At 47.6% G+C, this 19,893-nt stretch overlaps 3 protein-coding genes and 1 non-coding gene across 76 annotated transcripts in view, besides 5 other annotated features; 2 read left to right on the top strand and 2 right to left on the bottom strand.

Moving 5' to 3' along the window:
• The window catches only part of PMS2 (PMS1 homolog 2, mismatch repair system component), a 38,182-nt gene extending 37,689 nt beyond the window's left edge, over nt 1-493 (bottom strand). For 52 of the 61 annotated variants that reach the window (NM_001322008.2, NM_001406881.1, NM_001406895.1 and 49 more), the window contains exon 1: nt 384-436. Coding sequence is in view for 15 of the 61 variants with exons in the window: in NM_001406885.1 (NP_001393814.1) it covers nt 384-406 (23 nt within the window). In the remaining 46 variants the exon portion in view is untranslated. Of the gene's footprint in view, nt 1-193 lie in introns of all 61 variants that reach the window. The other 9 variants (NM_001406897.1, NM_001322009.2, NM_001406894.1 and 6 more) reach the window with 3 other exon arrangements.
• Nucleotides 238-337: an enhancer, noted in NCBI's record as "active region_25614". NCBI's record gives its function as "activates an Ori minimal core promoter by ATAC-STARR-seq in GM12878 lymphoblastoid cells {active_cell/tissue: GM12878}" and the evidence as "EXISTENCE:reporter gene assay evidence [ECO:0000049][PMID:35858748]".
• AIMP2 (aminoacyl tRNA synthetase complex interacting multifunctional protein 2) lies at nt 659-15,221 on the top strand. 11 transcript variants are annotated; one of them, NM_001326609.2, is made up of 5 exons: nt 659-885; nt 4,131-4,216; nt 6,533-6,739; nt 9,201-9,432; nt 14,690-15,221. In NM_001326609.2, the coding sequence occupies exons 3-5, from the start codon at nt 6,632-6,634 to the stop codon at nt 15,076-15,078; spliced, it is 729 nt and encodes a 242-aa protein (NP_001313538.1). In that variant the 5' UTR covers nt 659-885; nt 4,131-4,216; nt 6,533-6,631; the 3' UTR covers nt 15,079-15,221. The 11 variants fall into 11 exon arrangements, with proteins under 11 accessions (NP_001313538.1, NP_001313540.1, XP_047276791.1 ...); NM_001326611.3 differs by lacking the exon at nt 4,131-4,216 and adding an exon at nt 2,021-2,158 and having other exon boundaries at nt 659-765; XM_047420835.1 differs by lacking the exon at nt 4,131-4,216 and adding an exon at nt 2,485-2,564 and having other exon boundaries at nt 659-765.
• Nucleotides 868-1,027: a silencer, noted in NCBI's record as "silent region_17931". NCBI's record gives its function as "represses an Ori minimal core promoter by ATAC-STARR-seq in GM12878 lymphoblastoid cells {active_cell/tissue: GM12878}" and the evidence as "EXISTENCE:reporter gene assay evidence [ECO:0000049][PMID:35858748]".
• Nucleotides 7,213-7,312: an enhancer, noted in NCBI's record as "active region_25615". NCBI's record gives its function as "activates an Ori minimal core promoter by ATAC-STARR-seq in GM12878 lymphoblastoid cells {active_cell/tissue: GM12878}" and the evidence as "EXISTENCE:reporter gene assay evidence [ECO:0000049][PMID:35858748]".
• Nucleotides 8,264-8,398, top strand: SNORA80D (small nucleolar RNA, H/ACA box 80D). The gene has a single exon (NR_145771.1). It is a non-coding gene; the product is annotated as a small nucleolar RNA, H/ACA box 80D (small nucleolar RNA).
• The window catches only part of EIF2AK1 (eukaryotic translation initiation factor 2 alpha kinase 1), a 36,929-nt gene continuing 30,669 nt past the window's right edge, over nt 13,634-19,893 (bottom strand). For all 3 annotated transcript variants that reach the window (NM_001134335.2, NM_014413.4, XM_047420200.1), the window contains 2 exons: nt 18,115-18,348; nt 13,634-16,188 (listed from right to left, as the gene is read on the bottom strand). In NM_001134335.2, coding sequence (NP_001127807.1) covers nt 16,060-16,188; nt 18,115-18,348 — 363 coding nt within the window. In that variant the 3' untranslated portion in view covers nt 13,634-16,059. The remainder of the gene's footprint in view (nt 16,189-18,114; nt 18,349-19,893) is intronic.
• Nucleotides 17,691-18,191: an enhancer, noted in NCBI's record as "H3K4me1 hESC enhancer chr7:6065935-6066435 (GRCh37/hg19 assembly coordinates)". NCBI's record gives its function as "activates a minimal SCP1, AML or CMV promoter by ChIP-STARR-seq in naive H9 embryonic stem cells {active_cell/tissue: H9 hESC(naive)}" and the evidence as "EXISTENCE:reporter gene assay evidence [ECO:0000049][PMID:30033119]".
• Nucleotides 18,054-18,103: an enhancer, noted in NCBI's record as "active region_25616". NCBI's record gives its function as "activates an Ori minimal core promoter by ATAC-STARR-seq in GM12878 lymphoblastoid cells {active_cell/tissue: GM12878}" and the evidence as "EXISTENCE:reporter gene assay evidence [ECO:0000049][PMID:35858748]".

Below are 19,893 nucleotides of genomic sequence, written 5' to 3' on the forward strand. Positions count from 1 at the left end.
TAAAAATAAAAATAAAAGGGGAGAGAGAACAGGTAGAAAGGAAATGCATTCAGTCTATGGGGATTTCACGCTCCCGCTTCAAGTCCACGGCCCTGTGATGGGATGTGGGCAAGGCCTGTCTGGGACAGGCCGAACCCAACTCCTCACAGGGCCGAATCCTTTGCCCGCAGCCCAGGACCCCGAAGGAGCTTGCCTCGGCCTCAAGGCGCACCCAAGGGGCACGAGATCGCTGCAACACTGAGGTCGCCACTCCGGGGCCTCCAGGGGGCTGCCTCGCCACGCGCCTCGGCCATGTTCCCCCCATTTCCAGGGAGGTTGGAATGCCGTGGGTCTCAAAGAGGGCGCGCGAGAGGGGACACCGGAAGACTGCGAGCCCCGCTCACCTCGAGCTCTCAGCTCGCTCCATGGATGCAACACCCGATCCGCCTCGGGGACTGGGAAAGTTCCCTCCAGGGCTCCCACAGGCGCTCCGCCTCCTGAACTCCCATTGGCTGCTTTCGACGTTGTGCTCCACCCTTTCCGGGCGGGGCGGCAAAAATACTTCCCGTCTCTCCTTTTCGCCTATTGGCTCTGTCAAAGGTCGACTTCGTGACGTCAAAGAGCCTGGGCCAATCAGAGCACACCGGACTGCGTTTTCCCGAACGCCCGCAGCAGGGTCAGAAGGGAGGTGGCCGGTCTCCGTCGTGACCTCTGACGGTTTCTGAGCGTTGGCCTTTGGCACGCGCTACCCCCTTTTGCTTTGGTTCTGCCATGCCGATGTACCAGGTAAAGCCCTATCACGGGGGCGGCGCGCCTCTCCGTGTGGAGCTTCCCACCTGCATGTACCGGCTCCCCAACGTGCACGGCAGGAGCTACGGCCCAGCGCCGGGCGCTGGCCACGTGCAGGTAGGAGCGCGGGGCCCCCCGCCCAGTGCGCACGCGCGGCGACCGGCTGCTGGCCCGGGTCCCCCCAGGCCGGAGCGAGCGCGTCCCAACCGGTTCACGGCCCCACCCCGGCATCTGTGCCGGCCGGCCAGGGACTCACTCAGACTTTTATGTTTTAAAAGATTTATCCAGGCCGGGCGCCGTGGCTCACGCCTGTAATCCCAGCACTTTGGGAGGCCGAGGCGGGCGGATCACCTGAGGTCAGGAGTTCGAGACTAGCCTGGCCAACATGGTAAAACCTCGTCTCTACTAAAAATACAGAAATTGGCCGGGTGTGGTGAGGCGCCTGTAATCCCAGCTACTCGGGAGGCTGAGGCAGGAGAATCGTTTGAACCCTGGAGGCGGAGTTTGCAGTGAGCTGAGATCGAGCCATTGCACTCGAGCCTGGGCAACAAGAGCTAAACTCTATCTCAAAAAAAAAAAAAAAAAAAAAAAAAATATATATATATATATATGTATGTATCTTTCCAGGTCGGGCGCGGTGGTTCACGCCTGGAGTCTCAGCGCTTTGGGAGACTGAGGCGGGAGGATCAATTGAATCCCAAGAGTTTGAGACCACTCTCAGCAACATAGCGAGACCCTTGTCTCTATTTTTTAAATGTTTTAATTAAAATACAAATCTGTCCATATTTTTTCTTTTTTTAATATATGGTTGCTTAAACATTTTGGTTCAGAGATTCTACCCTCTGAAAAGTGAATAGCACATAAATGCTCATTTTGAGGAATTACAAAGCGAACCCCAGGGTCACCATGGCCCAGGTTGACACACATTGTCACCACTCCATTCTTTCCACTTAAACCTTCCCTCTCCACCCCCAACCCCAGGTCCTGATTTTTATGGTAATTATGTCTTGCTTGTCTCTATTATTTTGTCAACTATTTATCCCTAAACAATATAGTCTGGTTTTTTGTTTTTTTTTTTGTTTTTTTCAGATGGAGTCTCACTCTATCACCCAGGCTGGAGTGCAGTGGTGTGATTTTAGCTCACTGCAACCTCTGCCTCCCAGGTTGAAGCAATTCTCTGCCTCAGCCTCCTGAGTAGCTGAGATTACAGGCGCTGTCCACTGGACCCGGCTAATTTTTCTATTTTTGGTAGAGACGGGGTTTCACCATGTTGGCCAGGCTGATCTCGAACTCCTGACCTCAAGAGATCCACCCGCCTCGACCTCCCAAAGTGTTGGGATTACAGGTGTGAGCCACCGTGCCCGGCCCCTAAACAATAGTCTTCATATAGGTAAGCATACAGCGTATAGTCTGATGTGTCTGGGTGTTTTTTTTTTTTTAATGTAGAGATGAGGTCTTACCACATCTCTACATAAAAGGTGGTTATGGAGACCCAAGGTGGTCTCAATCTCCTGGCCACAGGCGATCCTCTAACCCCAGCCTCCCAAAGTGCTGGGATTACAAACATGAGCCACTGGGTCCCAGCCCTGGCTTCTTTTTCGTAGATATTATTTTAGGAGTCATTTTATTGTAATATCAGAAGTATTCATCATCTCTGTACTATACCGTTCTATTGCATGACTCTCCACCATATACTTATCCATCCTGCTTGCTCAGGGACACTGGATTGTTTTCCATTTTAACTTGCTATGAACAGTCCTGCAGTGAATACTCTTATACAGAGGAGCAGGCATGGGGTATGTACTAATGAATGGGACTGCTGGCTCAGCGGCCCGCCTGGCTTTCCACTCTATTAAATTGTTTTCCAAAGTTATACTGGTTTATGCGCTCGCTCACCGCTCACCAGCAGGGTAGAAGAATTCCTGATGTTTGCACCCTGCCCAAAGCTGGTGGGTGTAGCGTGGTATCCTAAGGTAGTTTTAGTTTGGATTTCTCCAGACTTCTCTAACTTGAGGACCTTTTCATATTCACTGGCCGCTGTGATTGTGCTTTTGTAATGTACCTGCTCAAGTCTTTCACTCTTTTCTCATTGCAAACGTACATCCTAGGTTTCCAGCAGGAGAAACAGGCCTGTCCATTTCTGACACAAGATGGGTGAATCGGTAACTTTTCTGGTCTGTTTTCCCACTGCTTGTTATCCTTCTGTTTTCTTTAATGGCTTTCTGCCTAGATCAGGAGGGACAGACTTTCTTTTGAAACCCAATAACACAACTGTTATTTCAGTACAGAGCTAAGACAGAAATAGCAGACATAGTTCAATGGTCCCTGCACCTAGAGAGTGCCGTGGAAACAGGGCCCAGTCACCCTCCAACTGCACAGTCCCATGAAGCCAAAAAGACAATCCAGGTTGGAGAATGTCACCTTTCATTTAAGGCCAAGTTTTGCAGAGTCTGTTTTATTTGTTTTTAAGTCTGCTGCCTAACTTCTTTTGGGTTTTTGTGAACTTAGAGGACACATAATCTCACTCTTCTAGCAGTTTCTCTAGGAGGTGATAACAATGCGGACAAATAATTAGCCATAAAACATCTTGGCCAGGCGCAGTGGCCCACGTCTGTAATCCCAGCACTTTGGGAGACCAAGGCAGGAGGATCACTTGAACCTAGGAGTTCAAAACCAATCTGGGCAACATGGTGAAACCCCATTGTTACAAAAAGTACAAAACTTAGCCAGGTGTGGTAGCATGTGCCTGTAGTTCCAGCTACTCAGGAGGCTGAGGTGGGAGGATCACTTGAGCCCAGGAGGTCAGGGCTGCATTGAGCTGTGATCCTGCCACTGGACTCCAGCATGGGCAACAGAGTAAAACCCTGTCTCAAAAAAAAAAAAAAGAAAAAAAGCAATCAAGTATCTCCAGGGTAAATGAAAGCAACATGAAGAATAAGCTGTTTATAAATACATATAAATTAAAACTAATGGAGAAAAACAGTATACCACATCACAGTCTAGTCTCAGCAAGGAAAACAACAGGCCAACATTAGAAGACACGAATGACATAAAACAGATCTTGAACATTTTGTTATTACTCAGATCACGAAGGACTAGATCACGCTGCACTCAGGGCTTAAAAATCACAAGCCACGTTACACATACAGTACTTCAGACATTCTTCATTCCTGACCGAGGTTTTTTTTGTTTTTGAGACAGAGTCTCACTCTGTCACCCAGTCTGGAGTGCAATGTCGCAATCTCAGCTCACTGCAGCCACTGTCTCCCGGGTTCAAGCAATTTTCTCCTGCCTTAGCCTCTCCAGTAGCTGGGATTACAGGTGCCCCCCACCAAGCCCAGCTAATTTTTGTGTTTCAGTAGAAATGGAGTTTCATCATGTTGTCCTCTCGAACTCCTGACCTCAAGTGATCCACCCGCCTCGCCCTTCCAAAGTGCTGAGATTACAGGTATCAGCCACTGTGCCTAGCCAGCACTCAATAATTTAATTGGCATACTGAACTCTGTTCCACCCGGAAGTCAGTGGACTTCACATTTCTCTGACGTTTGATCTTAAATAAGAGCAGCAGACTAGGAGAGGTGAGAAAGTGCTGATTAAGCCCGAAGGTAAATAGGAGTTAAGCAAACAAGAGAAGAAGGAAGAGTGATGCAGATGGAGGGAACAGCACATGTGAAGATCTGTGGTCAGAGCCAGGGTGGTGGTTTAGGAACTCCTCGGACAGTGTGGCTAGAGCACAGGCAAAGGACGAAATTGGGTGAGGTAAGGTAGCCAGAGGCCAAATGATACAAAATGTCTGTGAAGCCATGTTAAATGTTTGACATTTTATCCTAAGCACCTAGCAGGTTAGCAAGGGGGAGACATTGACAATATCTGATTTTTTTTTTTTTTTTTTTTTTTTTGGAAACAGTCTCACTCTGCCGCCTAGGCTGGAGTGCAGTGGTGTGATCTCTGCTCACTGCAACCTCCGCCTCCCGGGTTCAAGCGATTCTCCTGCCTCAGCCTCCTGAATAGCTGGTATTACAGGCACCCACACCACACCTGGCTAATTTTTGTACTTTTAGTAGAGACGGGGTTTCACCATGTTGGCCAGGCTGGTCTCGAACTCCTGACCTCAGGTGATCTGCCCCTCTCGGCCTCCCAAAGTGCTAGGATTATAGGCATCAGTCAGCGCGCCCAGCCTTGAGTTTCTTTTTAAGTCTTTCCAGCTGCCATCTTAAAGGATGGTTTGCAGGGGTGGACTAGAATGGGTGCGAGGTGGAATAGGCTAGGTGAAGAATGGTGGCCTGGCCACGTGTGGTGGCTCACGGCTGTCTTCCCAGCACTTTGGGACCTGAGGTGGGAGGATGGCTTGAGGACAGGAGTTTGAGACCAGCCTGAGCAACATAGCGCAGTTCTTTGTCTCTACAAAAAAATTTAAAAATTAGCCAGGCTTGGTGGCACACACTTGTAGTCCCAGGCACTCAGGAGACTAAGGCAGGAGGATCACTTGAGCCCAGGAAGTCAAGGCTGCAGTGGGCCATGATCACACCCCTGCACTCCAGCCTGGGCAATAGAGTGAGACCCTGTCTCCAGGACAAAAAAAAAAAGACAAGAAAATGATTTGTGGAATTGATTACTTGGCCCCATGGACGTGCTTCCAAGCTAAAATAAAGTGTTTCAACCTGTGTTCCCTTTTCCCTATTTGTATAAATTACTCAGTTACATTCTCATTGCTACTTATTTAAGCAAAGTATTCTTAGTTTGTTAAGAACAAAGAACTACAAATTGTGTTCATTTTCTATCCTTCCCTGTTGTTAAGACTAAATTACCTGAAATAGGAACCATACAATTTCAGAGTGGCTTTTAGCCACAACTTTTATTTGTTGAAGCTTTTTTTTTTTTTTTTTTTTTTTTTGAGACGGTGTCTTGCTCTGTCGCCCAGGCTGGAGTTCAGTGGTGCGATCTTGGCTCACTGCAACCCCCGCCTCCCGGGTTCAAGCGATTCTCCTGCCTCAGCCTCCTGAGTAGCTGGGACTACAGGCATGCACTACCACACCTGGCTTATTTTTGTATTTTTAGTAGAAACAGGGTTTCACCATGTTGGCCAGGCTGGTCTCAAACTCTTGAAATCAGGTGATCCACCTGCCCTCAAGCCTCCCAAAGTGCTGGGATTACAGGTATGAGCCACCGCACCTGGCCTTGTTTTAAGCATTTGGGGATCAATTTGCAGGGACCTATTGGACTATGGGGAAAATGAGATGTTTCTGCTCCTGTATTTTAATGTCTTTTTCCTTTTTGTTTCTTTACTTTGTAATTAAGGCTTTGCAGACTTGCATCCCATAATGTCTTCTTTTATTTTTTTTTATTTTTATTTTTTGAGATGGAGTCTCACTCTGTCACCCAGGCTGGAGTGCAGTGGTGCCATCTCGGCTCACTGCAACCTCCACCTCCTGGGTTCAAGTGGTTCTCCTGCCTCACCCTCCCGAGTAGCTGGGATTACAGTTGCGTGCCACCATGCCAGGCTAATTTTTGTATTTCTAGTAGAGACGGGGTTTCACCATGTTGGCCAGGCTGGTCTTGAACTCCTGACGTCAGATGATCTGCCTACCTGGACCTCCCGAAGTGCTGGGATTACAGGCGTGAGCCACCACACCCAGCCCATAATGTCTTCTTTTAAAGGGTGGGAGGTTTGGTGAGTGCATGGCAAAGTAAGACAAGTGATCAAATTTAAACAACACTGGTCTGATGGGAGAGGAAATGAACATTTGGCTGTTGGTTTGTTTAGGAAGAGTCTAACCTGTCTCTGCAAGCTCTTGAGTCCCGCCAAGATGATATTTTAAAACGTCTGTATGAGTTGAAAGCTGCAGTTGATGGCCTCTCCAAGATGATTCAAACACCAGATGCAGACTTGGATGTAACCAACATAATCCAAGCGGATGAGCCCACGACTTTAACCACCAATGCGCTGGACTTGAATTCAGTGCTTGGGAAGGTAGGTTCGTTTTGAAAGCTGAAACGTTAGTAGGTACTGAGTGGTTAGTGCAGGGAAATTGTGCTGCTGTGATTAAAGCCTTAGCTTTCAGGCCGGGCGTGGTGGCTCACGCCTGTAATTCCAGCACTTTGGGAAGCCAAGGCGGGCAGATCATGAGGTCAGGAGATCGAGACCATCCTGGCCAACGTGGTGAAACCCCATTTCTACTAAAAATACAAAAAATTCGCCGGGCGTGGTGGCGGGCACCTGTAGTCCCAGCTACTCGGGAGGCTGAGGCAGGAGAATGGCATGAACCCGGGCAGCAGAGCTTGTGGTGAGCGGAGATCGCGCCACTACACTCCAGCCTGGGCGACAGAGCGAGACTCCGTCTCAAAACAAAAACAAAACTAGCTTTCTGGTTTTCAAAGGCAGAGCCAAGAGCATGTTCATATTTTTTTCTTCTCTAAATGAGTGTGCCTTTGCACAGAACAGAGTCCCAGGGCAGGAGTGAAGTCAAAACAAGCTCTAAAGCCTCCTCTTGACTTCTCAGAGCACGTAGAGGACAGGGAGGATCTGTAGGTAGAGAAGGAGTGGAAGAGAGTTACAGCCTCTGCCAGTCCGGGCATGGGTCCAGCAGCTTCTGAGCCCTGGAAGAACAGATCTCAGCTTGCTTGCTCAGTGTTCCCCAGAGGTTCAGCAGAGGCAGCCCGGACTCTCTCTGATCACAGGCCAACTTTCAGAACTGTGACTGCCCAAGTACAAAAATCCTACCCATCCTTTTGAAATGTACTGCTTAGGCCAGTCAGTCTCATATTTCAAATGCGTTTTGCTTGAACTCAGTTTGCTGTATTACAAGTAAGTTGCATCAGCCAGCTCTCATGATTGAAGTTTACAGGCTTCAGCTAATTTAGGGGAGAATCTGATATGCAAAGAAAGACCACCTCGTTTGTTAACCACAATGTGATATTTATTTGAGGATGCAAAAGGGTTTGTCCCAAGAATCCCTATCAATAGCCTCCTCTAGAATGGGTGATAGAATAGCACTACTTAAAGCCCTAAAAAATGCAAGCATTGTGGTGTCTCACCCAGGGCTGGGATATTTGGTAACCTCAGTACCTCTGCATTCATGTATTCCTTCCTCTGCTCCCTCATTCATTCAGTACTTGTTGGCATGCACTGAGGACTCAGATGAGGTGCAACCAGGCCCTCAGGGAGCCGGAGCCTAGCAGATGAGTTTTCGAGCATGCGCGGCTGAAATGACTGAGAAAAGACCCTGAGTCATTTCTCAGGGTGCTGGGGAGGTATCTCAGAGCATGTGGTGCTCAAGATGAATTTTGATACCTCAGAAGACCCAGCGTCAAGTAATACAATATGTTCAGGGAACTGCAAGGCATTCTGCCTAGGCCGACGTGTGGGATATTGGTCAGGAGTGGCAGGCGGGGTACAGAAAGCCAAGGAGTTTGGCCGTGAGTGTTCACATCAGTGCATTCATTATTACGAGTGAAAGCGTAGAATAAGAAAGTCTTTATCTAAAAAGGCTGTCATGCATGGGTTTGGATTATGACAGGCCCATCCCCCTGGACCTCTCATAGTGCCCCATGCCAGAGCAAACTGTGGCCCCGAACCATTGCCTGGCTTCTGTACCCGTGGGCCACTGGCACTGAAGAGGGTTACACAGTGGGAATAAACAAGGCTGTCAGTCTGAGCACTTCAGTTAACGCCTAGTATTTTAGCATCTCCCCATCCCTCATCATCAATGATATCTTGGGCCAACACCCCTTCTTAAGGGGTTCTTCATGGAAACATCTTAATGAACACAAATTGGCCGTGGTCAGCTGTTGGAAAGATTGAGTAGCTGGAATAACTGCAGGTTAAAAGGGACAAATAAAAGTGTCATTCCTAGGCCAGGCACCATGGCTCCCATCTGTAATCCCAGCATTTTGGGAGGCCAAGACGGACAGGTCATTTGAGGTCAGGAGTTCGAGAACAGCCTGGGCAACATGGCAAAACCCCATCTCTACTAAAAATTAAAAAAAAAAAAATTAGCTGGGCATGGTGACAGGCACCTGTAGTCCCAGCCACTTAGGAAGCTGAGGCAGGAGAATCGCTTGAACCTGTGGAGGCAGAGGTTGCAGTGAGCAGAGATCATCCACTGTACTCCAGCCTGTGTGACAGAGTGAGACTCTGTCTCAAAAAAAAAAAAAAAGTGTCATTCCTCATATGTTGTTTTATTTGACAGTAGAGTCAACTTTTTATTTGTTGGGGGTAAGGGGGTGGAGTCCGCTCATATCCCAGCTCCACTCCGTCCTGAGCGAGTGACCTTGGATAAGTTACTGGCTGCAACGTGGAGATGACGCTAGTGCCGTCTTCATGGAAGTGGCGGAGTCGGTTAGATAACCCTGGTTAGGTTCTTAGACTCGCGCCCGGCACAGTGGCACTCTCCGATGACTGTTATTCGTACATTGTCTTGGTCTTTCCCCAGGATTACGGGGCGCTGAAAGACATCGTGATCAACGCAAACCCGGCCTCCCCTCCCCTCTCCCTGCTTGTGCTGCACAGGCTGCTCTGTGAGCACTTCAGGGTCCTGTCCACGGTGCACACGCACTCCTCGGTCAAGAGCGTGCCTGAAAACCTTCTCAAGTGCTTTGGAGAACAGAATAAAAAACAGCCCCGCCAAGACTATCAGCTGGGATTCACTTTAATTTGGAAGAATGGTAAGTAGACGGGACTGAGTTCAACTTACACACAGCTGCCCCTTGAACACCATGAGTTTCACCTGCATGAGTCCATTTACATGTGGATTTTTTTCTTTTTCTTTTTTTTTTTTTTTTTTGAGACAGAGTCTCGCTCTGTCACCCAGGCTGGAGTGCAGTGGCACAATCTTGGCCCACTGCAACCTCCACCTCCTGGGTTCAAGCGATTCTCCTGCCTCATTCTCCTGAGTAGCTGGGATTACAGGCGCGCACCACCAGGCCCAGCTAATTTTTTTTATATTTTTAGTAGAGACGGGGTTTCACTATATTGGTCAGGCTGGTCTCAAACTCCTGACCTCATGATCCACCTGCCTCAGCCTCCCAAAGTGCTGGGATTACAGGCGTGAGCCACCAGGCCCGGGCCTCATGTGGATTTTTTTCAATAACTATCTTGGAAAATTTTTTGGAGATTTGCAGCAATCTGAAAAAACTGGCAGACAAACCGCATAGCCTAGAAATATCAAAACAAGGCCACGCGCAGGGGCTCACGCCTGTAATCCCAGCACTTTGTGAGGCCAAGGCAGGCAGATCACAAAGTCAGGAGTTCAAGACCAGCCTGACCAACATGGTGAAACCCCATCTCTACTAAAAATACAAAACTTAGCCGGGTGTGGTAGCAGGCGCCTGTAATCCCAGCTACTCGGGAGGCGGAGGCAGGAGAATCACTTGAACCCAGGAGGTGGAGGTTGCAGTGAGCCAAGATCACGCCATTGTATTCCAGCCTGGGCGACAGAACGAGACTCCATCTCAAAAAAGAAAGAAAAAAGAAAAATATCAAAACAAGAAAAAGATATGAGGCATAAAATATTTACATACTAGTCTATTATTTACATACACAAAATATACACAAATCTATTTTAAAAAGTTAAAATGTATCAAACCTTACACACACACACACACACACACAATACATGGCACCACTTGCAGTTGAGAGAAATGTAAACAAACGTGAAGATGAGCATGAAATCCCAACTGCGTAACATTAATTGTGGAACAAACAGACTGTACTGCTGGAATAATTTCACAGCCGCCTCCAGCGTGGGGAGTGTCTGCTTCAATCTGCTTCAGACACCCTGTGACGCTAATCATCTCGGTGTGAGCAGCTAATTCATCTCTCCAGGAAATTGCATGTTGCAGTCAAAAGTGACCTCTTGGGAGGCCGAGGCGGGCAGATCACGAGGTCAGGATATCGAGACCATCCTGGCTAACACGGTGAAACCCCATCTCTACTAAAAAATACAAAAAAAAAAATTAGCCAGGCATGGTGGCAGGCGCCTGTAGTCCCAGCTACTTGGGAGGCTGAGGCAGGAGAATGGTGTGAACCCGGGAGGCAGAGGATGCAGTGAGCCGAGATCACGCCAGCGCACTCCAGCCTGGGCGACACAGCAAGACTCCGTCTCAAAAAAAAAAAAAAAAAAAGAGATCTCTTGAGGTTCTTGGCTATTTTTCCATCGTGCATTGCCATAAACCTTGACTAACACTGTGGGACACTTACAAAGTGTCTCTTGTGATACTGAAAATGTTCCCAAGAAGCAGAGAAAAGTCATGAGATTACATGAGAAAGGTGAATTGCTTGATATGTACCAGAAGTCTGCAGCTGCCACTTCAAGATAAATGAATTCAGTGTAAGAACCATTGTTTAAAAAAAGGGAAATTTGGTCGGGCACAGTGGCTCACGCCTGTAATCCCAGAACTTTGGGAGAACGAGGAGGGCAGATCACGAGGTTAAGAGATCAAGATTATCCTGGCCAACATGGTGAAACCCCATCTCTACTAAAAATACAAAAATTAGCTGGGCGTGGTGGTGCGTGCCTGTAGTCCCAGCTACTTGGAAGCCTGAGGCAGGAAAATCGCTTCAACCTGGGAGGTGGAGGTTGCAGTCAGCTGAAGTCGCACCACTGCATTCCAGCCTGGCGACAGAGCGAGACTCCATCTCAAAAAAAAAAAAAAAAAGGGAAATTCATGAAGGCGTCACTATAGCTGCACCAGGAGGTGCAAAAACCTTGCACTTTTTGCAGAATACCTATTCATCTCACATTGAAAATGTAGATTTTGGCCGGTTGTGGTGGTTCATGCCTGTAATCCCAGCACTTTGGGAGGCTGAGGTGGGTGGATCACCTGAGATCAGGAGTTCAAGACCAGCCTGACCAATATGGCGAAACCCCATCTCTATTAAAGGCACAAAAATGAGCTCAGCATGGTGACCTTCACCTGTAATCCCAGCTACTCAGGAGACTGAGACAGGAGAATCGCTTGAACCCAGGAAGTGGAGGTTGCCGTGAGCCGAGATCACACCACTATACTCCAGCCTGGGCTACAGAGCCAGACTCCGTCTCAAAAAAAAAGAAAAGAAAATGCAGCTTTTATGTGGGGTGCAGGATTACTGTTAGGCATACCTATAGACTCTCATAAGATTTTAGAAAAAGCAAAGTCATTATATGACAACTTGAAGCCAAAGGATGGTGAAAGATCTAAAGCTGGAGAGTTTAATGCCAGCAAATGATGGTTTGATAATTTTAGGAAGAGGTTTGGCTTTTAAAAATGTCAAGATAACAGGAGAAGCAGCTTCCGCCAACCAAGAGGCAGCAGACAAGTTCCCAGATGCCATAAAGAAAATCATGGAGGAGATGGGATACCTGTGTCAACAGGTTTTTAATGCAGACAAAACTGCCCTAATCTGGGGGCATGGGAGGGAACCACAAAGGACATCTATTAAGTAAAGAAGGGAAGTGAGCCCCAGGATTGAAGGCACGCAGGGCTAAGCTAACTGTCCTGTTTTGTGCAGGTGCAGCTGTGTTTATGATCAGGCGAGCTCTTACCTATAAAACTGCTAACACCTGAGACTTAACGGGAAAAGATAAACACAGCTGCTGATCTTTTGGTTGTACAACGTCTGGACAAGAACGCTTTTTCTGGATTAATTCCATTGATGCCTTGTCCTTGAAGTCAGGATGTACCTTGCCAGTAAGGTACACCTTTTTAAAGTTCTTCAATGCTGCAGGCACTCAGAGCCCCACGAGTTAACACCAAGGGCGTCAAAGTCGTCTACTTGCCCCCAGGCTCATTACACACAGTACTCTATGAAATTGTCAGTGCTATGAAAGAGAACCCTGGCTGGGCATGGTGGCGCATGCCTGTAATTCCAGCTACTTTGGAGGCTGAGGCAGGAGAATTGCTTGAACCCAGGAGGTGAAGGTTGTAGTGAGATCGCGCCACTGCACTCCAGCCTGGGTGACAGAGCAAGACTCCATCTCAAAAAAAAAAAAAAAAAAAAAGAGAACCCTGATTAGAACATCTTGAAGAGTCTGGAAGGATTACATCATTGAAGAGGCCATCATCGTATAAAAAGCTGTGAAAGCCATCATGGTGAAACAGTACATTCCTCCTGGAGAAACCTGTGTCCAGATGTGCGTGACTTCATAGGATTTACGACAATCAAGGAAACCATGAAATAGATCATAGATGGGGCAAAAGTGGGTGGTGAAGAGTTTCAGGGTATAGATCTTGGAGAAATTCAAGGGCTGACAGACACTGCACAGAAGAATTAACATAAGACAGCTTAATGGAGAGAAGTGCTTCCAAACCAGTGCCAGACGTTGAGGAAGAAGACCTAGGAGAAGCCGGGCTGGAAAACAGATTTCCATTAGACAGTCTGGGAGAAGGCTTCTGATTATTCAAGGCTGCTTTTGACTTCTTTTACGACCTGGAGTCTTCTATGATATAAGCACTGAAACTAAAGCAAGCAGTGGAAGGGTTGATGCTGCACACAACTATTTTTAGAGAAATCAAAAGGCAAAAAGTCAGACAAATTATGATGTATTTCCCTAAAGTTACACCGTGCTTGCCTCTCGTCCTTTCCTGCCTCCCTTTCTACCTCCTCCACCTCTTCCACCCAAGACAGCAAGACCAACCCCTCTTCCTCAGCGACATGAGGACAGTGGGATGAAGACCTTCATGATGATCCACTTCAACTTAATGAATAGTAAATTCATTATCATTTTCTTTTAAAGAGGCAGGGTCTTGCTTTGTCTCCCAGGCTGGAGTGCAGTGGTGCGATCATAGCTCACCACAGCCTCAACCTTCTGGGCTCAAGTGATCCTCCCACCTCAGCCTCCCAAGCAGCAGGGACTACAGGTGTGAGCCACCATGCCCAGCATCCTTATTATTTTCTTAACATTTTCTCAAGTTTATTGTAAGAATATAGCATATAATATACAGACCATACAAAACGTGTTAATCAACTGTGATGGGTAAGGCTTCCCATGAATAGTAGGCTATTAGTGCTTAAGTTTTGAAGGAGTCAGAAGTTTTATGTGGATTTTCGACTGCACAGCAGTCGGGGGTCAGTGTCCCTAACCCCCCCACTGTTCAAGGGTTAGCTGTACTATATGATGAGATGTGCAACATGGTTTTGATAAGAGGCAGCAAGGGTTTAGGACATTCTGTGGCATACTGGCCACATAGCGATTTGCATCAGGTCAGATATTCTAAGTCTAGAAAGCCTGTGGGATAGTTCTAGAGGAGGAGCAGAGATGAAGCAACGCAAAGATGCCCTTGTTCGTCTGCAAAATTTAGGGTCTCTGAGTGAGACACAGCTCAAGGGGGGGACTGTGAGCATTTGGGGAAGGGGGTTCTGTCCAACCAGGCAAAGCGGGGAGTCATGGCTATCACAGCCATCTTGCCCTCACATTCAAGAACTTACCATCATAGGGACACTGAAGTTATCTTCTCATATGGCCATATAAAGATAGGATGTTATGTATTGACTATCCCACAGATGTATGCCTCTTCTGGTTTATGTTGATATGGAGATAAGCGAGTTCATGTCATTCATATCTTAATTGCCCTCAGTCTCACAGAAGGCGATTATGAGGCCAAGAGCCTGGGAGATGCAGCTCCTGGGTTTCCAGCCCTCAGCCCCCAAAACCTTAGGCAGCAGGGATTGGAGCAGGTGGTCTGAGGTCCCTTCTAGCTTCAGAAGTGTCATAATCAAATACCAGGAATGACTCTTTGGTTACTTTTTTAACATAGTTTGCACTTAAACCCTTTTCAGTAGTAAGCATCTTAGAGACAGACTGAAAATGTGATGTTCTTCTTGAAAACACCCTTTCCCATGTCATCAGTCTGTGGTGTTTGGTGACTGTCCCCTTCCCCACTGTGCGAGTACTTCCCTCAGGGCTGCTCTGGTGATGCTACCTGGCGTGTTTTTTCTTTTCAGTGCCGAAGACGCAGATGAAATTCAGCATCCAGACGATGTGCCCCATCGAAGGCGAAGGGAACATTGCACGTTTCTTGTTCTCTCTGTTTGGCCAGAAGCATAATGCTGTCAACGCAACCCTTATAGATAGCTGGGTAGATATTGCGATTTTTCAGTTAAAAGAGGGAAGCAGTAAAGAAAAAGCCGCTGTTTTCCGCTCCATGAACTCTGCTCTTGGGAAGAGCCCTTGGCTCGCTGGGAATGAACTCACCGTAGCAGACGTGGTGCTGTGGTCTGTACTCCAGCAGATCGGAGGCTGCAGTGTGACAGTGCCAGCCAATGTGCAGAGGTGGATGAGGTCTTGTGAAAACCTGGCTCCTTTTAACACGGCCCTCAAGCTCCTTAAGTGAATTGCCGTAACTGATTTTAAAGGGTTTAGATTTTAAGAATGGTGCTCTTTCATGCCTATTATCAGTAAGGGGACTTGTATTAGAGTCAGAGTCTTTTTATTTAGGCCAGTTGTCAAGTGTCAATAAAAGCATCATGTAATTTATGGTTTTCATTTTATTTAAAATTCAGCAAAATCATACGCCATCTACCGTGATGACTGCCAACTCCATGGCAGACCCTTTCTGGGATTCAAAAACCAATTCATCAGATCGCTGCCTCTGAGGGATGTACAGATTGGCTGGGGAGCTGAGTGCTACAATAAAGGAGGAAGTACCGGGGAACAGTGCAGGGCAAAGGCAGGAAAGAGATCTGAGCTGCCTGGAGATCATCTGGGGTGCGGAGTACAAAGCTTTGCAAGGGTGTGGTTTTGGAATGACGCTAAACTGAAGGTGGAGAGAACAGATAAAAAGGTTGGAAGTTGCACACTGTACACTGTTAAGAAGTTGAGCTTTTATCTTAGAGGCAGCAGAAGGTTTGGAGCCAAGGAATGAAATGATGAGGCGTCCTTCAGGTAATGAACTTCAGCTGCAGTGTGAAAGGGGCAGGAAGACTGGCAGCTGTCAAAACTGGAACAGTCCAGTGAGTATGTGCAGGCCCGGGCTTGGGCAGTGACGAGGGCAGGGAGCACACATCAATTTCTGCGGTACCTTCTAGAGGAAGACCAGACAGAGGGTCAACAGAGTTGAAAGGAGAAAATAATTGAGGATGAGGTCCAAGTTTTTAGTTTCAGAGACTAGGCATATGGTTAATATTTAGGTAGGAAATTCAGGAAAAGGAGCTTGTGGGGCAGGAAGGGAAGGAACGGCAGCTTGGGGCACTCTGACATCTTTAACAAGTCTTGTAAAGGCTTACTAAATACAACGAAGCATTGTACCAACTATACCCTAATAAAGATTAAAAATTTACATTCCAGTTAACTACCTTAAAAGTTAAGTCCACTTTCATCCCACGCCCCCATCCTTTCCGTCATCCCTCACCCCTTTGTCTTGAGAAAGGAGGTTTAGCTGCTTCTTTAGTTCTGCAATTTCTTTTTCTTGCTCTATTATCTTCATCTGTAGGGTGAGGTTAACCTGTAAGGAGAAAATATTTTAAACTCCATTAAAATAACTTTTTTTTTTTTTTTTTGAGACAGAGTCTCGCTCTGTCGCCCAGGCTGGAGTACAGTGGCATGATCTTGGCTCACTGCAACCTGTGCCTCCCCAGTTCAAGCTATTCTCGTGCCTCAGCCACCCAAGTAGCTGGGATTACAGGCGCTCTCATACAAGCCCAGCTAGTTTCTGTATTTTTAGTAGAGATGAGGTTTCGCCATGTTGGCCAGGCCGGTCTCAAACTCCTTACCTCAAGTGACCCACCCGCCTCGACCTCCCAAAGTGCTGGAATTACAGGTGTGAGCCACCACACCCAGCCAAGGTTTCATTTTATACAAAAAACTTTTGCAAGATAGTAGAAATCCTTACCATAAATACTAAATAACTATGGTCTCTAATAGCTATCTTAACTGAGCATCAGAAAATCCCCTTCATATATGAAGATAAATGTTTATACTTGGTTTCAAGAACCACATCTGTGGCTGGGCATGGTAGCTCACACCGGCTAATTTTTGTATTTTTAGTAGAGATGGGGTTTTACCATGTTGGTCAGGCTGGTCTTGAACTCCTGACCTCATGATCCGCCTGCCTCAGCCTCCCAAAGTGCTGGGATTACAGGCGTGAGCCACCACGCCCAATGCTTGTAACTCTTAGAGTAGACAGGCGGTGGGGAGTCAACCTGCTTACGTGGACAATGAATATAAGCATGCTACTGGTATTCAACCTAGTGCTTGATACAGTCAGGGAACTCTGAGAATGGGTTTAAATATTTTGTTTGCACAAATATGAGTCTAAGCTCGACTATTCACTGAAACAGGGTTCACTATTTATATTGAGACGGAGTCTCGCTCTTTCGCCGAGGCTGGAGTACAGTGGTGTGATCTCAGCTCACTGCAACCTCCGCCTCCCAGTTCAAGTGACTGTCCTGCCTCAGCCTCCCAAGGAGGTGGGATTACAGGTGTGCACCACCACGCCCGGCTAATTTTTGTACTTTTAGTAGATGGGGTTTCACCATGTTGGCCGGGCTGGTCTTGAACTCCTAACATCAGGCAATCCTCCCACCTCTGCCTCCCAAAATCCCATGCCTGGGATTACAGGCATGAGCCACCCCGCCTGGCCAGGATTCACAATTTGAACAAATTCTATTTTAAGCTTCATATTTTCCTCAGCATTTAAAAAAAAAACATGTACAGAGACCATGTCCAGGGCAGCAGCTGCAGCCGGACCCCCACGCCAGGCCACCCCTGCCTCTCCCCGGTGGTCCAATGACTGTGTACTGCGCAGGGAATGCAGCAACCCCATCGGGCACACTCTTCAGCACTACCCGGGGAGGTACCAGGATCATGTACAACTGGAAATTCCCAATAGAGTGCTGAACTCACCAGTGACCAAAACACCCTCGAGGGACCCGCCCACCACTTCCGGGGTCACCAGCCCTGCCAGTGATGAGCCCCCGGCAGACATACAGACAGCCCAGAACAGCAGGCAGGTGGTGAAGGGTCAGAGTTTGACCTGGACATCTAAAGGCCTAGCCATGAGAAGGTGCAAACCCTGCGGGCCCCTCCGGCCTTTCCGGGAAGGAGTCTCACCCACCAGGCCCCAGGAAGTTTCCTACCGGCCTTCGCTGTGGGGTTGGCCCCCAGCCCTCCGCTCCTCTTTGTGAACACCAGCAGATACCTCCTGTGCCTGCTGAGGCCACAGCTGCTACCCCAAGGGGAGTGAGTCCTGCCAGCACACCCTGCAGCTGAGTGCCAGGAAGTGGACGAGAACAAACAGGCCCCGCCTCCAGAACCATCATCTGGCTCTTCCAGCCCCAGCCTCCGGGGGCACCACCCAACCGCTTCCTTCCCCAAGAGAGGCAATAAAAACCACCTTCACTCCAGGACCAAGAGAAAGAAAAGCACATACATTTCCAGAATTTTGGAAAAGTTCACTCTGCAGCAGCTGAATGGCAGATGGTCTCTGCGATGAGTTCCTTCTCGTTAAGTGCTGGATATACTTGGCTTGCACTGGACACCTTTTACGGAGGGATTCCGGCAACTGACCAGTTCTTAAACCTGTTAGAACTTCTGCTCGCTCCATTTCTGTTCCAAACGGCTGAAAGAGCTCTAGCAGGACCACACCCAAGCTGTACATATCTGACTGGAAAAAGAAAAAAAGGGGAACTCAGTAGTGAAATACAAAGTTAGAAGAACGTTTCCATTTCCGTGTTCCACCCTCCAAACAGGAGAGGGTTTCTAAGAATGAGGATATACGGTCACCCACAAGGAAGGGAACAGAGCAGGATAGCTCATCAGTGACAGGGACTTTCACAACCTCAAAAAGGGGCATCCGTGGGCACGCAGAATGGATGGTCAGGTGGAGGGCAGGGATAATCCCCACCCACAGCAGTCACGACCATACAACTGTCTTCAGCACCCCTTAACAATCCAGGCCTGACCCAGGCAATGATGTGAGCTCACGCCTGCTAGTGTCAGCTGCGGGGGAGCCACAGAAGGTCGCGGGTTCTCCTCCGGTCTCACCTCTGCCTCCACTCATTCTTACCAAGTGTCCTTGGTGACATTTAACAAACTGCATAAAATCTGTGATACTACTCCTAAAAACAGATTTTTTAGGAAGGTCTTCACTAAACAAGATTTTAGGGGCAGCCATCATTTTTTCTGACAGCTCTTTCCTAATCACTAAAAAGCTCAATGCGCCATCAAAAGGAAGAAAATTTTACTAGCCTGTTGTTTTGAAAAATGGATTTTAGCATTTCTTCCAGGAACAAGGGAGATTCAAACTTTACAGCATGTTCGTTCTATTTCAAGGGGAGTCAAGGGGCAGGCTTCCCCTTGGTGTTTATTTACCAAAGCTTGAAAAAAACCAATGAGAAGAAAGGCTGAAAACAGGCTTCCATGAATTCTAGCTTCCTGAGGTGAACAGTGATGTTTTAAAGGGAAAGCTCATTTCAAAATCGATTTAGGCCAGGCGCAGAGGTTCATGCCTTAATCCCAGCACTTTGGGAGGCCAAGGGAGGAGAATCATTTGAGGCCAGGAGTTTGAGACCAACCTGGACAAAGCAAGACCCATCTCTACAAATAATTTTTTTTATTAGCTGGGTGTGGTAGCACAACTCTTGAAGTCACAGTTACATGGGAGGCTGAGGTGGGAGGATCACTTGAGCCCAGGAGTTGGAGGCTGCCATGAGCTATGATGACACCACTGCAATCCAACCTGGGCAACAGAGCAAGACCCTGTCTCAAAAACAACAAATGAACAAACAAAAAAATTGTGACATCTGTGGATTTTGAAATGGTAAAGTAGGCAACACAGAGTCTACTGAAAAGTGAGGTTTCTTCTTAGGACAGTTTGATCCAGTTAATTATCTACAGTACTCAGTTATCTCCAAAAACATCTCTATGACAGAGCTTCTGCATTTCATTGTACTGTTTGTTTTTTTTTTTTTTGAGATGGAGTTTTGCTCTTGTCATCCAGGATGGAGTGCAATGGTGCAACCTCGGCTCACTGCAACCTCTGCCTCCCAGATTCAAATGATTCTCATGCCTCAGCCTCCAGAGTAGCTGGGACTACAGGCATGTGCCATCGCACCCAGATAATTTTTGTATTTTTAGTAGAGACCAGGTTTCACCATGTTGACCAGGCTGGTCTTGAACTCCTGACCTCCGGTGATCCACCCACCTCGGC

This window comes from Homo sapiens, chromosome 7 (genome assembly GCF_000001405.40).
Source record: "Homo sapiens chromosome 7, GRCh38.p14 Primary Assembly".
NCBI classification, from domain to species: domain Eukaryota; kingdom Metazoa; phylum Chordata; class Mammalia; order Primates; family Hominidae; genus Homo; species Homo sapiens.

Excerpts from the sequence above, each read along its gene's own strand:
- AIMP2 (NM_006303.4), top strand. The coding sequence starts at position 751 with ATGCCGATGTACCAGGTAAAGCCCTATCACGGGGGCGGCGCGCCTCTC. Across the intron at positions 886-6,532 it reads CGGGCGCTGGCCACGTGCAG|GAAGAGTCTAACCTGTCTCT; the intron begins GTAGGAGCGCGG and ends TGGTTTGTTTAG. Across the intron at positions 9,433-14,689 it reads CACTTTAATTTGGAAGAATG|TGCCGAAGACGCAGATGAAA; the intron begins GTAAGTAGACGG and ends TTTTCTTTTCAG.